At 37.2% G+C, this 16,219-nt stretch overlaps 1 long non-coding RNA gene and 1 pseudogene across 1 annotated transcript in view, besides 1 other annotated feature; one reads left to right on the forward strand and one right to left on the reverse strand.

The window, feature by feature from the left end:
* Nucleotides 4,990-7,676, reverse strand: WDR82P1 (WD repeat domain 82 pseudogene 1; annotated as a pseudogene).
* Nucleotides 7,221-8,420: an enhancer, noted in NCBI's record as "CDK7 strongly-dependent group 2 enhancer chr3:94656674-94657873 (GRCh37/hg19 assembly coordinates)". NCBI's record gives its function as "activates an origin of replication core promoter dependent on BRD2, BRD4, P300/CBP, MED14 and CDK7 cofactors, with strong dependence on CDK7, by STARR-seq in HCT116 cells {active_cell/tissue: HCT116}" and the evidence as "EXISTENCE:reporter gene assay evidence [ECO:0000049][PMID:35650434]".
* LINC00879 (long intergenic non-protein coding RNA 879) overlaps nt 7,654-16,219 on the forward strand; it is a 53,066-nt gene continuing 44,500 nt past the window's right edge. The window contains exon 1 of the long non-coding RNA NR_015400.2: nt 7,654-7,717. This is a non-coding gene — a long non-coding RNA (long intergenic non-protein coding RNA 879). The remainder of the gene's footprint in view (nt 7,718-16,219) is intronic.

A 16,219-nucleotide genomic window follows, 5' to 3' on the forward strand; every position in this document is an offset into this window, starting at 1 on the left:
TCACTCCAGCTTTCAAACAAATCAGTATTATATATTAATTTTTTAATCAACCATATAAATATCTTTATTTTTTCTTTTTAATGATTATAAAATATTCCTCCTTCCCTCTCTTTTCCATCTCCTTTTAATATTCCATCTCTGTTCATTGATTTACTTTTATATTTTTAAGGTGAATACAATCCATAATTTTTTCTATAACTATGTTTTGTGGTTTTCTTTTCCAGTCATTGTACAATGATCCTTTAATCACGTTCTGATGTGCTCTATTTTTTATTCTGCCATTACAGTATTTTCATTTTCTTCATAGGCACTTTACTATGTGAATATTTGAATTGTCCTCTCCCAGATCCAGAGATCCCCTCTTCAATCTCCTCTTGAAGGCTCTGTCATCTTGTCAAATTTGTTATTATCATTTTACGGACCTGCTGATCTTTGATCCTGAAATATACACTTTTCTTAATAGCACATCTTTCTCTACAGTAACTTTGATAGAATGAATCTTTAAATAATTTCTAAGAAATGTACATGAAAATAATAGTTCTGAATACTAGAAATTTCTTTATTCCTGAAATGCTTTTGTTTTTCCCTTCCACTTGAATTATATTTTAGGTAGATACATTATTCTACATTGAAAATAATTTGTCTCTCAGAAATTAGGTCCTTTTTCTTTTCTCCCCCAATTTTTCTAATACATAATACAAACAAAAATTTTATGTATTCATAGTGTATAGAATATGTTTGTATGTATGTAGACATTATGGAATGGCTAAATCAAGCGAATTAAAGTATCTGTCACCTCACATACTATCATTTTTTGTGGTGAGAACATTTAAGCTTTACTGTCTTAGCAATTTTCAAGTGTGCAACACATTATTGTTTACTATAGTCACCATACTGTACAATGGATCTCCAGAATGTATTTATCCTAAATGAAACAGTGTACCCTTTAACAAATATCTCCTTGTAGGCCTTCTTTCTGTTTATTGTACCAAAGAATTTTGTACATGGGTGTTAAGATGCTAGACAGATTTCTGTTCTTTTGTAAAATATTTGTGTACTCATTTCCCTGCTTGCCCTATTCTTACATTCTTTCTAAAAGCTCTAGAATTTAATTTTAATCGAGGTGATCTAGAACAGTGCTAACCCATATGATGGCCACTAGACATTTATTGGTATTGAGTACGTGAAGTTTGTCTAATGCAACTGATGCAAATGTCTTTACATTTTATTTTAAATAGTTTAAATTTGTATTGGATAGTTTAACTAGTTATTAAAAACTTTAAAAAATATTTAGAAAAACTTGTTCATGTAAATCTATTTTTTTGAGCTGTAGATTTTATAAAATCTAAATATAGATTAAATACTTTGTACAAAAATTTAGCATCCAAATGAAATGTGTTATAACAATAAATAGTGAATTTTGAAGACTTATACAAAAATGAGCTCCAAATATCTCAATAATTCAGCATTGATTAAAAGCGAAGTTATGATATTTTGGGTATAGCTGGCTTCAACAACGTATCAATAAATTTATTTTTAACCTATTTCTTTTGCTTTTCAGAAGTGACTATTGAAAAATTTAAAATTACATATGCAGCTCAAATTGTATTTCTATTTGGCCAAGAATCATCTGTTATTCAGAATATAGTGCCCTAAGTAAGGGTTTTGTTTGTTTGTTTGTAATGTGTCAGTGTGAGCCCTTTCAATAGAAAGACCCTTTTCTTAAACTCTGGAAAATTTTCCTGTAATTTTTATTTAATAAATTCGTCTTTATTACCATCCAAGTAATCTACTTTTCTTATGTTATCTCTGTAACTTTTAAAAATCAGATAAAATCAGCGTCTTACTGTTTTATTCGCATATGCTTCATTTCTTGTTCTTTTTTTCTTCTAAATATTCTTTTAAAAAACTTTTCAGCTCTTTTACTGAATATTTGACTTTAGTTCTTGTTCTTGGACTTTTTTTTAATCTTCCTAAGTTTAGATGCTGTGTTTTTCAAATATTGTTGATAATACAAATCACAATTTATGATCTGTGTGCTTATCTGTTTGCTAAAGTTCCTTACTCTTCATGATTTCAGTATATGAGTTTGAGTTGATTATCTCAGTTTTTCTCTTTGATACTGCAATCTCGTAAGATATTGGAGGCTCTTGGATATCCATTTATTTTTATTTTATGGCAACATAAAAGCTGGACTCAATTACTGTGTATTGAGGCATGACTTGTGGACTTTTTTAAGAGAATTCTTCAGTCGAGTTACTGATTGATTTATTGATTATTGTTTGATGATAAAGTGCCAATCTATCTGCCCAGAGTGGTGCTTGAGCAAGAGAAACTTGCAGCTGGTCTATATGGACATTCAATCTATTCATTGTTTCAGCTAGCCTTCTGACTTGAACTTGCTTGTCTGGGGGTCTTGCCTTCATCAGGGTTCTGGAAGTCAAAGACTTTCTCATTGCAGATTTTATTTTGTCACTTTGTCTTCGATTCATCAGGCTCCACTTCTCACCTGATTTATATCATCTAAACACTTTTTATTGCTGCGAGTTGGTCTTTTAACTCTTTACTGAACTTTTATGATATCATAGGAAAGGAGATGAATGAATGTGCTCAGATCATAACCCTGGAGTAGATTGTCATTAGAAGGTGGATGGTCTTTACCATATTTTCATCTCTTAAAAAGTGTAATTTTATTCAGGCACTTTAGTGAAGAGGAACTAGAAATAAAATTCAGTTATTCTAGCCCTTATGATTAAGAAAAATTTTGTTGAAATGTGATAATTCATTCCCTATTTCATTTTAGTTATTTTGTCATTGTCCATGGTCAAGTTTTCAAAATAATACACTGTTCTTTAATCACATCTTTAAAGTAATAGTAAAGTTGCAAGCTTAAAGACATCCTTGAAAAATGTCTAAGAGCAAGGGAGAGGTTTGGGCTAAAGACAATGTAGTTCAAAATTTAGAAGATCTATCATACTAACATTCCACCAAACGAAATAAAAACTAATAACCTTGCAAATGAGTGAAGATATCTTTTTCTATTAGATATACATTAAGCAAGGAAAAGTTGAGTGAAATTTAAATGCATTTTATCATTGCTAAAACAATAAAATTACCTGATCATGCAGTCATTAGCAGCTTTGAGAAGTTTGCTGTGAATTAATTCATCTCTGTTGGGAAATAATTGCAAAAGTTTCTAACTTTTAAGGTATGCTGACACAGAAAATTTTACTTTATAAAGCACACTATTCAAAATTGGACTATGGTCAGCATAACTAATAAAACAAAAAGGCCATACTTTTTTACTCAAGGGTCAGGTCATTATTGTCCTCAGTTCTAAAAAATTTGTTTAAACTTTTATATCAAATGTAGTATCACATGTTGAGAACAAGGGTTATTTCACTTCAAAAATTTATTTTGGTGGAGTTAATGAATCCACTAAGAGGTTTGGACTAAAGACAATGTAGTTCAAATTTAGATCCTTCTAACCTTTTAACAGTAGTAATTTTTGTAGTGGCCTTCTGTAAAAATATTGTTCTCAGCTGCTTTTTTAACATTTTTAATGTGTAGACATGGTTACTTCATGGAAAATAAAGTTTGTGCAAAATTTGTATATTTTCATTTATAAGTTGTCTTTATCATAATAGCTTCTAATTATATTTAGTGTGGAGGTGATATAATTTTACATTATCTCTTTCCTATTCATGTTATTGTTTTATATTTTAAGTGTAACTTCAGAACAGTGAAGTGATGGACTTCATAGAACATCACAGGAGTAGTAAAGATTGTTTTCTAATCTACAAATATTTGTCTTTTTTAACAGAATCTAAATTTATTGGAGATGACAAGTACCCTGTTAAAATCCTGTATTCTGTAGCACTAATTGAAGAAACAACTGAAGCTACAGTTACCATCTTAAAATTGACCTTAAGGGAAAGGACACAGACTTATAGTGACATCAACCCAGAAATCTTTGGGTTGCTACTTTAGATTAAGACTGCCTGCTTTCATTCTTGTTGTTACTTGAAAAAAATAAACCTCAATCTTGTTCAAGTCACTATTATTTGAGATTTCTCTTGCCACTTTTAAAAGGTGCCCCAGGAGAATCATGTGAAGCTCAGGTTGAGAAACCATCCCTCCAAGTGTTCCATTTGGTCTATCCACTACAGGCATGGTGACTTGGCTAAAATAATTAGTCCCACTTCAGAAATTAACTTTATAAATATAATATATACTTTTTGTAACTCAAGTTCTGGAAATGACTAAATGTCCCTTGTATGATTCTTTTAAATGTGATATTTTTCAATAGTTAATTGAACATGATTACTATTATTATTTTTTATTTTTTATTTTTTTTTTTGAGACGGAGTCTCGCCCTATCGCCCAGGCTGGAGTGCAGTGGTGTGATCTCGGCTCACTGCAACCTCCGCCTCCCGGGTTCAAGCAATTCTCCTGCCTCAGCCTCCTGAATAGCTGGGATTACAGGGATGCGCCAACAAGCTCAGCTAATTTTTCTGTATTTTTAGTAGAGACGGGGTTTCACCATATTGGCAAGACTGGTCTCGAACTCCTGACCTTGTGATCCACCAGCCTCGGCCTCCCAAAGTGCTGGGATTACAGGCCTGAGCCACCGTGCACGGCCAGGTTATAATTTTTAAAGTTAAAATAATAAGGAGTAGTGTCCTGAAATTATCTTGTAATACTTCCTCACTATCAGGTATTGACAACGAAAATATTTCCATTCCAATTGAAAAATGGTATGTGCATATACGTGTTTATAAATAAACATTATGAAAAGACAAATGTAATGTTGTGTAAAAATAAATGAACTCATGGATATAAAGTATCCCTTTAATCTCGTGTTATGTTTATTAATTTCAAATGAAACAAAGCAGTGGCCATAATATCATTCATTGTGTCCTATGTAAGAAGTCATATGATAAATTTTCCTTAGAATTTAGCATATAAAGAGTTTGATATACTTTATAACACCCTATCCCTAAATGCCACAAGCCAGACACAGAAGCCATGCAAAAGTGACTATCACACACAGGTACAGAGTACCACCAAGCAGAAAGGGGTTAATACTGCAGAGAGAGCCCCAAAGTACAGCTTGAGGAACACAGGGAGTCATCCCAAGACCTTCACTTGGCTGCCATGGAAACAGCAAACACTATAAGCTTTGCTTCATTCAGTCTTCCGAAATGAAACGTTAATAGGGAAGACTCACTAACACTTGTGGTGAACACGGTTAGCAAGGATGCAATGTGTCTCCTGGGCTGTAGGACTCCGTCTGCTTCAGCTGAACTCTCAGAAATTACAGATGAGAGAGATATATGCATATGCACATACATATACACATATCTGTATGCACACAGATGTATTTAAATGAAGGTGCATACACTGGGCTAAAATACAAACAACAGAAATCAAAGGTCATATAATAAAAGGCTAAATATAACACAGGCCTAGAACTAGCTCCTGGTTGGGAGCTGGGGAAAGGTACACAATTTGTGGTGGGCTGGGAAAACTATGTACACAATTAGTGGTGGGCAGGGAAGGCATCAGTGTAGAGAACTCAGACTCACTTCACAATACTGGCCCACAGGAATGTGTGATGTTATCTCATGTACATAAATAGACTCTAACCTTGCTTTTGTGCAAACCAAGCTTGGTAGGCACCCAGGAGGACCGTGGGTTTGTCTTGATGACAGGGCACTGCACCACACTGCTGCTAAACCTTCCAGCCCTAGGAACTCACCTGCTACCATCCCCTTACACTCCCTTTTAGGCCCTTGGGCTTTTTCCCATCCAACACCTAGAGCCTGAGGCCTGCCAAACTACCTAGCTTCACATGACTAATTGCAGTGACTAACTTCATGGCTTCCTGCAAGCAAGGTCCTTCTGTATCTGTCTCTTTCTCTGACCCCAATATGAAAACATTTCTGTAAATGTCTGGCACCTAATAAACATGATGGTTGTGGACAATGTCACAAGTACACAGGAAGACCCAGTAACAAGACATGCAAGGTGAGGGCAAGGGGCGCTGAGCTGCTCTAGCATTTCAAAACCAGGACTGTAGCTTTCCATACATTCAGCGGGGTAGGAGAAGGGATGTGCAGAGCTGATGACTTCACTGGCTCCTCAGCAGCATGTACATTCAAATTGAAGATGTCTTGAGAGCCCCACTATACCCAAATCGTGAGTCTGGTCACTCCTCTAGCAGAGCTTGGTGCAGTGACAGCTAGAAAAGCTGAGTTCCAATTGAGTCTGTTGCACCAGAGTTCTTTTGAAGATGCTCAGCAAAGTAATTATTTTCTTTTGAGCAGATGTACAGCACATCCATGAGAAGGCCAAGTAAAGGATGCTCTCCAGCCCAGTCAAATGATCCAATCCCCCTACTATCTCAGACCCCTCTGAGTTTCTTCCTATGGCCGCCCTCACTGTACAGAAATAGCGGAGCAGCATCAGGGTGAGTCATCAATGGTGGGCAGCCAGAAGACCATGCTGGAACACGCACTGGCAAAAGTCATGAACTTGGGGTTGAACTGCAAACAGGTAATTGGGCCGGTGTGTTTACCATCCAACACAGCTACTTTTATACCACTCTCTCCATTCCAGACATGGATCTTGCCATCCTCTGAACCAATCATAATAAACTGAGAATCTGGAGTAAATGAAGCCTCCAGTGTGACAGCTTTGCTGTTGGCATAACCCTCAAACGTGTGCATCACCACTCCTTTGAAAGCATCAATGAGGGAAATGAAGCTGCCGTTGGTGGAAATGAGGATGACCTTGCCATCGTTGCTGAATTTAAGTCCTGTCCACTCACAAGTTCGATTACACTGCATCCTAAAGGTAGTAAATGGCCCTTTATCAAAAGAACGAAGGTCGTAAAGTTTGACCATCTCAGAGTTGACACCTGCAGCCAAAATTAACCCTTCTGGATCAAAAGAACAAACTGGCTTCCCCTGTAGACTCATGAGGCCCTGGCAGTTAGGAGCCCGGAGATCCCAGAGTCGAATGGTCTTATCAAGAGACCCAGAAATGAAAATGTCATCCACAGGTGACATGGACAAGGCCACCACTCTTTTGCTATGTCCAGGAAAGTATCTGATGTATTTGTTGTCATGCAAGGACAAGTAACGAATAGTATCGTCTATTTTGTTAGAGCTGTAAACAGCTGTGTTTGCCTCATGAGTGTATCTGATGAGGTCCACGCCATATTTCTTACTGTACAGGGTTCTCTTTGGTTTGCCCTCCTGGCAGTCATATAGCACGATGGAGTCGTCGTTGCTGCTTGAGATGACCGTCTGGCCGTTGGGGCTGAAATCGAAGCAGTTAATCTTGTCCGAGTTTTCGCAAAACACCCTGGCGACGCGGAAGCTCCGCAACACGCTGTCGGTCAGCTTCATGGCGGCGGGTGGGGAAGGCAGCCGGGACTGGCAGCGGGCGGGCTGCTGAGGGGCCAACCCCTGGTGGCGGCGGTGTTGAGCCGGTGGCTAGCGAGAAGTCGGCCGGCAGTGGGGCCGCCTCCTTTTCTTCCTCCTGCTTGGACGACTGTCTTCCGCCTCAACTGTGGAGCCTCGCCGACCGTTAGTCCTCACAGACACCTCAGGGGCAACCGACGCAGCGCCACCTCATCGTGTCCGCCATCTTGGGGCGACGGCCAGAAGTCCAGGGCTAGGAGCCTCAGCCGGCGGACGCCAGGAAACAGGTAGGGATAGATATTTTCATTGAATATGAAACGCAGGATTGGAAGGGATTTTTTTTTCCCTAATGGAAATTTTAGGATTTTTAATTTTTTTCATGTATTTTCTGTTGAAATTCATCTCTCTTATTATTGCTGTTTTGAAGGTAATGCTTCTTATCTTGCTCATTCAGGTAGAATTTTTTGTTCTTTGTTTTCTGAAGTCTTCCTATGATATGTCTGTGTGAATTGAAAATTATTAGAAATCATTTTTCCTAGATTTCGCAGAGATTTTTGTGTATTTGACTTGGCGAAGTCTTTTTTCTCTTCTTTGCTTCTAGGATTTCAGTTACCATAATAATATTGGATCTTTGCGGTATGTCTTTTACACTTTTCATCTTTCTGTGCTTCAATTTGGGTATTTTTTTCTGTCTCATCTTCCAGTTTATTTATTCTCTTCTTTTTGGTGATATCTACTGAGTCACTAATATATCTTAATTATATTTTTCCAATTCTAGAATTTTTATTTAACTTTTTATAGATTTTATTTAACTCTTTATAGATCAATATTGATATTTTATATTTGTAATTGAATATATATAGAAAATATAAATGCAATTTACATTAATATTATATATGCGAATATAAATATCTATCATCTACATATCTTTAATGACAGAAGAGTGCATTAGTATCTGGTTTAGTGATTTAAATATTTAATAAAAATTAAGTAAGATAATCTTTCATGGTATCTTCTAGAAGTCTACTACATCAAGATAAGCACTAAACCAACATTTGTATTCCCTTAGTACATGTAGATTTTACCCTTACCTGAGAATTGTAAACTACAATCAAGTGTGATATAATTGTATATGTGTTTGTAACACACCTTTACTATAACCAAAAACTTTGAATGTGAAAACCATTATTTCAAACTACAGCATTTATTGATATTTTATTAAACTTACTATTTATTTTTGCTATCCGAGAGCAATTTAAAATTAAGAGAAGCAGCAATGGACATGTATTATTGAGAATTTCAAATCTAAGATATCATTTTTCTTTTAAGCACAAGCAATCTATATAGTTACTATATTTGAAGTCGTACTCTGACCAACCTCAATTTCAAATTTGTAGCTAGCTGACCCAAAATAATGATATTGGTCTGGCGACTTCATGCCTTATGGGACTTGTGGAGAAAAAAAAAAAAAACATAATCGATCTTCTTTCATGAGATGTTGAGCCCTGTAGGCTTCCTTCAAAGGAGTTCTTTGTCCTCATGTAGAAAGAGTAAAGGAAAGGAAGAAGGAAAGAAAGAGCCCAACTGGGTTTTAATACAGAGTCTGTGAAAGTGATTCAGTGAGGCAGAAAGCTTCATTGCGAGTTTATGATACAGGTCCAGTTACAGGCAACAAAGAGAAAGTAAATTCCAAAAATCTTTTCAAAAAAGTAGATTTAAAAACAACAATGATAACGCTGGAAAGCCAGATCAAATCAAGAGTTGTAACCCCCAAAATTAACAAATCTAGAGAAGTGAAAAAAAAAATTCCTGTGCTAAATTAGTTTCATTAAATGGCCATCAATTCATGTTAACTTCCTATGGTGGTAACACTATCAAAAATGTTTTTTCCTATTTCCTTTGTTTCTGGTAACACTATTATCTATCTCTATCTATCTATCTATCTATCTATCTATCTATCTATCTATCTATCTATCTGTCATCTATCTATCTGTATTTGGAAAATATATTTTTAGTATAATATTTAGGCTTCAAAGCATAAAAGCCTAATGTTCAAGTTAGACAAAAATAATGAACTTTTTTTTAAAGAAATGAAGACCCATGTACCTAATATACCCTGCAGTTGTTTGTGTGTGTTGATGGGAGGTTGCATGTGTATGAATGCTTGTGCATTGTGCATGTGCATGCTTTTCTATGTGTGAATGTGCTTTTATTATGTGTGCACACACCAAATATAGTGTGTGTGTGTGTGTGTGTGTGTGTGTGTGTGTGATATTTTGGCTTACAATATATTAACCTATAGCATAATAATGTTAACCTATAAAATTCATGGCCCTTCACATAAAAATCTGGATTTTCAACTTCGCTTAGAAGAGAGAAATATGGGAAAATACCAGGCCAACAATTTGCTATGGAAATAGTTTGCTGGAGCTCCGCTCTCTTTAGACTGTGTACATTCCTTTGCCATAGTACTTATTTCTCTTATTATCTGCCAGATTGAGATGTTTGTTAACTTTTGTGGAAGCTTGGATTATTTAATTGTAAATTTAGGAGAAAGATTTTTCTTCATGCGTCTATGAAAATATGAAAAAAAAGGCTAGTGGTCTGTGCACTTTAGATAAATGGTAGTAAGCACTGTTCTTAGTAGAAGTGAAGAATATTTATTCCTTTTTATATTCAAGGTGTGTTGTTGTGAAAAGAGTAAAGACACTGTTTAAAAAATAAGTCACATTAAGATACATGCCAGAAATTAGAATTTTTAAATGACTAAAGAAGGAAAAAGAGCAACCAGAAATAAAAGTGGCAAGCCAGCATGTTTTATTTTAGATGTTGTGCTGCATATAAGCCCTTCTCTTTGAACACCCATATCTTTTTAAAAATTATTTTTGTTTTTCTTTATTTCTTCTAAAAAAAAACCAAAATGGGATATATATACATAATATGCAGGGTTGTTACATAGGTATACATGTGCCGTGGTGGTTTGCTGCACCTATTGACTCGTCCTCTAAGTTCCCTCCCCTCTCTCCTCACCCCCCAACAGGCCCTAGTGTCTTTAGTTTCGCTCTCTGTGTCCATGTATTCTCACTGGTCAACTACCTATTACGAGTGAGAACATGCAGTGTTTGGTTTTCTGTTCCTATGTTAGTTTGTGGAGGATGATGGCATCTAGCTTCATTCGTGTCCCTACGAAGGACGTGATCTAATTCTTTTTATGGCTGCATAGTATTCCACGATGTATAGGTACCACATTTTCTTCATCCAGTCTATCACTGATGGGCATTTGAGCTGGTTCCATTTCTTTGCTATTGTAAACAGTGCTGCAATAAACAAATGTGTGCATGTGTCTTTATAGTAGAATGATTTATAATCCTTTGGGTATATACCCAGTAATGGGATTGCTGGGTCAAATGGTTCTGGTTCTAGATCCTTGAGGAATTGCTATACTGTCTCCCACAATGGTTGAACTAATTTACATTCCCATGAACAGTGTAAAAGAGTTCCTATTTCTCCACAGCCTTGCCAGCATCTATTGTTTCCCAACATTTTAATAATCACCATTCTGACTGGCATGAGATCATATCTCATTGTGGTTTTGATTTGCAGTTCTCTGTTGATCAGTAACGTTGAGCTTCTTTTCATATCTCTGTTGGCCACATAAATGTCTTCTTTTGAGAAGTGTTCATATCCTTTGCCCACTTTTTGATGGGGTTGTTTGTTTTTTTTTCTCATAAATTTGTTTAAGTTCCTTGTAAATTCTGGATACTAGATGCTTGTCAGATGGGGGTAGATTGCAAAAATTTTATCCCATTCTGTAGGTTGCCTGCTCACTCTAATGATAGTTTCTTTTGCTGTGCAGAAGCTCTTTAGTTTAATTAGATCCCATTTGTCAATTTTGGCTTGTGTTGCAATTGCTTTTGGCATTTTTGTCGTGAAGTCTTTGCCTATGCCTACATCCTGAATGGTATTGCCTAGGTTTTCTTCTAGGGTTTTTATGGTTTTGGGTTTTACATTTAAGTCTTTAATCTATCTTGAATTAATTTTTGTATAAGATATGATGCAGTGGTCCAGTTTCAATTTTCTGCATTTTTCTAGCTAGTTTTCCCAGCACCATTTACTGAATAGGAGATCCTTTCCCCATTGCTTGTTTTTTTTCAGGTTTTTTGAAGATCAGATGGTTGTAGATGTGTGGTATTTCTGAGGTCTCTGTTTTGTTCCATTGGTCTATATGTCTTTTTTGGTGCCAGTACCATGCTGTTTTGGTTACCATAGTCTTGTAGTATAGTTTGAAGTCACGTAGTGTGATGCCTCCAGCTTTGTTCTTTTTGCTTAGGATTGTTTTGGCTATACCGGGACTTCTTTGATTCCATATGAAATTTAGAATAGTTTTTCCTGTTTCTGCAAAGAATGCCAATGGTAGTTCAATGGGAATAGCATTGAATCTGTAAATTACTTTGGGCAGTATGGCCATTTTCAGGTATTGATTCTTCCTATCCATGAGCATGGGATGTTTTTCCATTTGTTTGTATCCTCTCTTATTCCTTGGGCATTGGTTTGTAGTTCTCCTTGAAGAGGTCCTTCACATCCCTTGTTACCTGTATTCTTAGGAATTTTATTCTCTTTGTAACGATTATGAATGGGAGTTCCTTCATGATTTGGCTCTCTGCTTGTCTACGGTTGGTGTAAAGGAATGCTTATGATTTTTGCACATTGATTTTGTATCCAGAGACTTTGCTGAAGTTGCTTATCAGCTTAAGGAGTTTTGGGCTGAGATGATGGGGTTTTCTAAATATAGAATCATGTCGTCTGCAAAGAGAGACAATTTGATTTCCTCTCTTTCTATTTGAATGCCCTTTACTTCTTTCTCTTGCCTGATTTCCCTGGCCAGAACTTCCAATACTATGTTGAATAGAATTGGTGAGAGAGGGCATCCTTGTTTGGTACTGGTTTTCAAAGGGAATGCTTCCAGCTTTTGCCCATTCAATATGATATTGGCTGTGAGTTAGTCATAAATAGCTCTTATTATTTTGAGATATGTTCCATCAATACCTAGTTTATTGAGAGTTTTTAACATGAAGGGATGTTGAATTTTATGAAAGGCCTTTTCTGCATCTATTGAGATAATCATGTGGTTTTTGTCATTGGTTCTGTTTATGTGATGGATTACATTTATTGATTTGCACATGTTCAACCAGTCTTGCATCCCAGGGATGAAGCCAACTTGATTGTGGTGGATAAGTTTTTTGTTGTGCTGCTGGATTCAGTTTGCCAGTATTTTACTGAGGATTTTCACATCGATGTTCATCAGGGATATCGTCCTGAAGTTGTCATTTTTTGTTGTATCTCTTCCTGGTTTTGGTATCAGGATGATGCTGGCCTCATAAAATGAGTCAGTGAAGAGTCCCCACTTTTCAATTTTTTGGAATACTTTCAGAAAGAATGATATGAGCTCCTCTTTGTACCACTGATCAAATTCATTGGAGAATCTATCTGGTCCCGAGGTTTTTTTGTTTGGTAGGCTATTAATTACTGCTCCAATTTCAGAACTTGCTATTGATCTATTCAGGGATTCAACTTCTTCCTGCTTTAGCCTTGCGAGGGTGTATGTGTCCAGGAATTTATCTCTTTCTTCTTAATTTTCTAGTTTATTTTCATGGAGCTATTTATAGTATTCTTGATAGTAGTTTGTTTTTCTGTGGGGTCAGTAGTGATACCCTCTATCATTTTTTATTGAGCCTGACTCTTCTCTCTTTTCTTCTTTATTGGTCTAGCTAGTGGTCTATTTTGTTAATTGTTTTTCAAAAAACCAGCTCCTGGACTCATTGAATTTTTTTTTGGAGGACTTTTCATGTCTCTGTTTCCTTCAGTTCTTCTCTGATCTTAGTTATTTCTTGTCTTCTGCTAGCTTTTGGATTTGTTTTCTCTCTAGCCCTTTTACTTGTGATGTTAGGGTGTCAATTTAAGAACTTTCTAGCTTTCTGATGTGGGCATTTAGTGCTATAAATTTCCCTCTTAACAATGCTTTAGCTGTGTCCCAGAAATTCTGGTACATTGTCTCTTTGTTCTCATTGTTTTCAAAGAACTTCTTGATTTCTGCCTTAATTTCATTATTTACCTGGGAGTCATGTAGGAGCAGGTTGCTCAGTTTCCATGTAGCTGTGTGGTTTTGAGTGAATTTCATAATCCTGAGTTATAATTTGACTGCACTGTGGTCTGAGAGACTGTTTGTTATGATTTCAGTTATTTTGCGTTAGCTGGGGAGTGTTTTACTTCCAATTATGTGGTCGATTTTAGAGTAAGTGCCAGGTGGCACTGAGAAGAATGTATATTCTGGTGATTTGGGATATAGTGTTCTGTAGACATCTACTGGGTCCACCTCATCCAGAGCTGAGTTCAAGTCCTGAATATCCTTGTTAATTTTCTGTCTTATTGACCTGTCTAATACTGACAGTGGGGTGTTATAGTCTCACACTATTATTGTGTGGAAGTCTAAGTCTCTTTGTACATCTCTAAGAACTTGTTTTATGAATCTGGGTGCTCCTCTATTAGGTGCATATATATTTAAAATATTTAGCTCTTCCTGTTGAATTGTTCCCTTTACCATTATGTAATGCCCTTCTTTGTCTTTTTTGATCGTTGCTGGTTTAAAGTCTGTTTTGTCAGAGACCAGGATTGCAATCTCTGCTTTTTTTTTTGCTTTCCATTTGCTTGGTAAATTTTCCTCCATCCCTTTATTTTGAGCCTATGTATGTCTTTGCACATAAGATGGGTCTCCTGAATACAGCACCCCAATGGGTCTTGACAATTTATCCAATTTGCCAATTTGTCTTTTAACTGGGATATTTAGCTCATTTATATTTAAAATTAGTATTGTTATGTGTAAATTTGATCCTGTTATGATGTTATCTGGTTATTTTGCACACTAGTTGATGCAGTTTCTTTTTAGTGTCATTGGTCTTTATATTTTGTTGTGTTTTGCAGTGGCTAGTACAGGTTTTTCCTTCCCATATTTAGTGCTTCCTTCAGGAACTTTTGGAGGGCAGGCCTGGTGGTGATGAAATCCCTCAACATTTGCTTGTCTGGAAAGGAATTTATTTCTCCTTCACTTATGAAGCTTAGTTTGGCTGGATATGAAATTCTGGGTTGAAAATTAATTCATTTAAGAATGTTGAATATTGGCCCCCACCCTGTTCTGGCTTGTAGGGTTTCTACAGAGAGATCTGCTGTTGGTCTGATGGGCTTCCCTTCGTAGGTGACCTGGCCTTTCTCTGTGGCTGTCCTTAACAGTTTTTCCTTTATTTCGACCTTGGAGAATCTGATGATTATGTGTCTTGGGGTTGATCTTCACATGAAGTATCTTAGTGGTGTTCTCTGTATTTCCTGAATTTGCATGTTGGCCTATCTTGCCAGGTTGGGGAAGTTCTCCTGGATAATATCCTGAAGTGTGTTTTCCAGTTTGTTTCCATTCTCCCCGTCTCCTTCCGGTACTCCAGTCAATCATAGGTTTGGTCTTTTTATGAGGTCCCATATTTCTTGGAGGCTTTGTTCATTCCTTTTCATTCTTTTTTTTTTTTTTTCTAGTCTTGTCTGAATGTCTTATTTCAGCAAGGTGGTCTTCAACCTCTGATATCCTTTCTTCTGCTTGGTTGATTCAGTTATTGGTACTTGTGTATGCTTCACGAAGTTCTCATGCTGTTTTTCAGCTCCATCAGGTCATTTATGTTCCTCTCTAAACTGGTTATTCTAGTTAGCAACCCCTCTAACCTTTTATCAAGTTTCTCCGCATCTTTGTATTGGGTTAGAACAGGCTCCTCTAGCTCAGCGTAGTTTCTTGTTGCCCATCTTCTGAAGCTTACTTCTGTCAATTTGTCCATCTGATCCTCTGTCCAGTCTGTGTCCTTGATGGAAATAATGTTGCGATCATTTGGAGAAGAGGCACTCTGGCCTTTTGGGTTTTCAGCATTCTTTCATTCATTCTTTTTCATCTTCGTGAGTTTGTCTAGATTCAATTTTTGAGGCTGCTAACCCTTGGATGGGTTTTGTTGGGGGCTTTATTTGTTGTTGATGCTTTGTTGTTGCTTCTGTTAGTTTGTTTTACTTTCAATGGTCAGGTCCCTCTTCTGCAGGGCTGCTACAGTTTGTTAGGGGTTCACTTCAGGTCCTATTCATCTGATTCACTCCCACGCCTGGAGATGTCACTCAAGGCGGCTATAGAAGAGGAAAGATGGGTGTCTGCCCTTTCTTCTGGGAACTCTGACCTCGAGGGGCTCCAATCTGATGCCAGTAGGATCGCTTCTGTATAGGGTATCTGACAACCCCTCTTGGATGATCTCACACAGTTGGGTGACATGGAGAAGGGGATGTATTTAATGAAGCACTTTGTCCTTGGTGGAGAGGGTGTGCTTTGCTTGTGGGAAACCCGCTCATCTGGGCTGCTCTGATTCCTCAGAACTACCAGGAGGAAAGGCTAAGTCTGCTGCTCCGGAGACTATGGCCACCTCTCCCCCAGGGGCTCATTTCCAGGGAGATCCAGGTTCTATCCCTGAGCCTCTGGCTGGAGTTATTGGAGTTCTTGCAAGGAAGCCCTTCCCAATGAGGAAGGATGGGTCAGGGTCAACACACAGATGGCCACAGCCGGTGTGTTGGGCTGTGGAAGACCAAGCTATCCAGCCTCCCTGGCTGCATCAGGGGAAAAGCCCAGTCTGGAGCTATTGAGATGGATGCCACCCTTCTCCTGCTCAGGGAGCTTAGTGTGTTAGGCAGTTGAGAGTCTCAGTGTTGGCTGCTGCCCC

This window comes from Homo sapiens, chromosome 3 (assembly GCF_000001405.40).
Source record: "Homo sapiens chromosome 3, GRCh38.p14 Primary Assembly".
NCBI classification, from domain to species: Eukaryota; Metazoa; Chordata; class Mammalia; order Primates; family Hominidae; genus Homo; species Homo sapiens.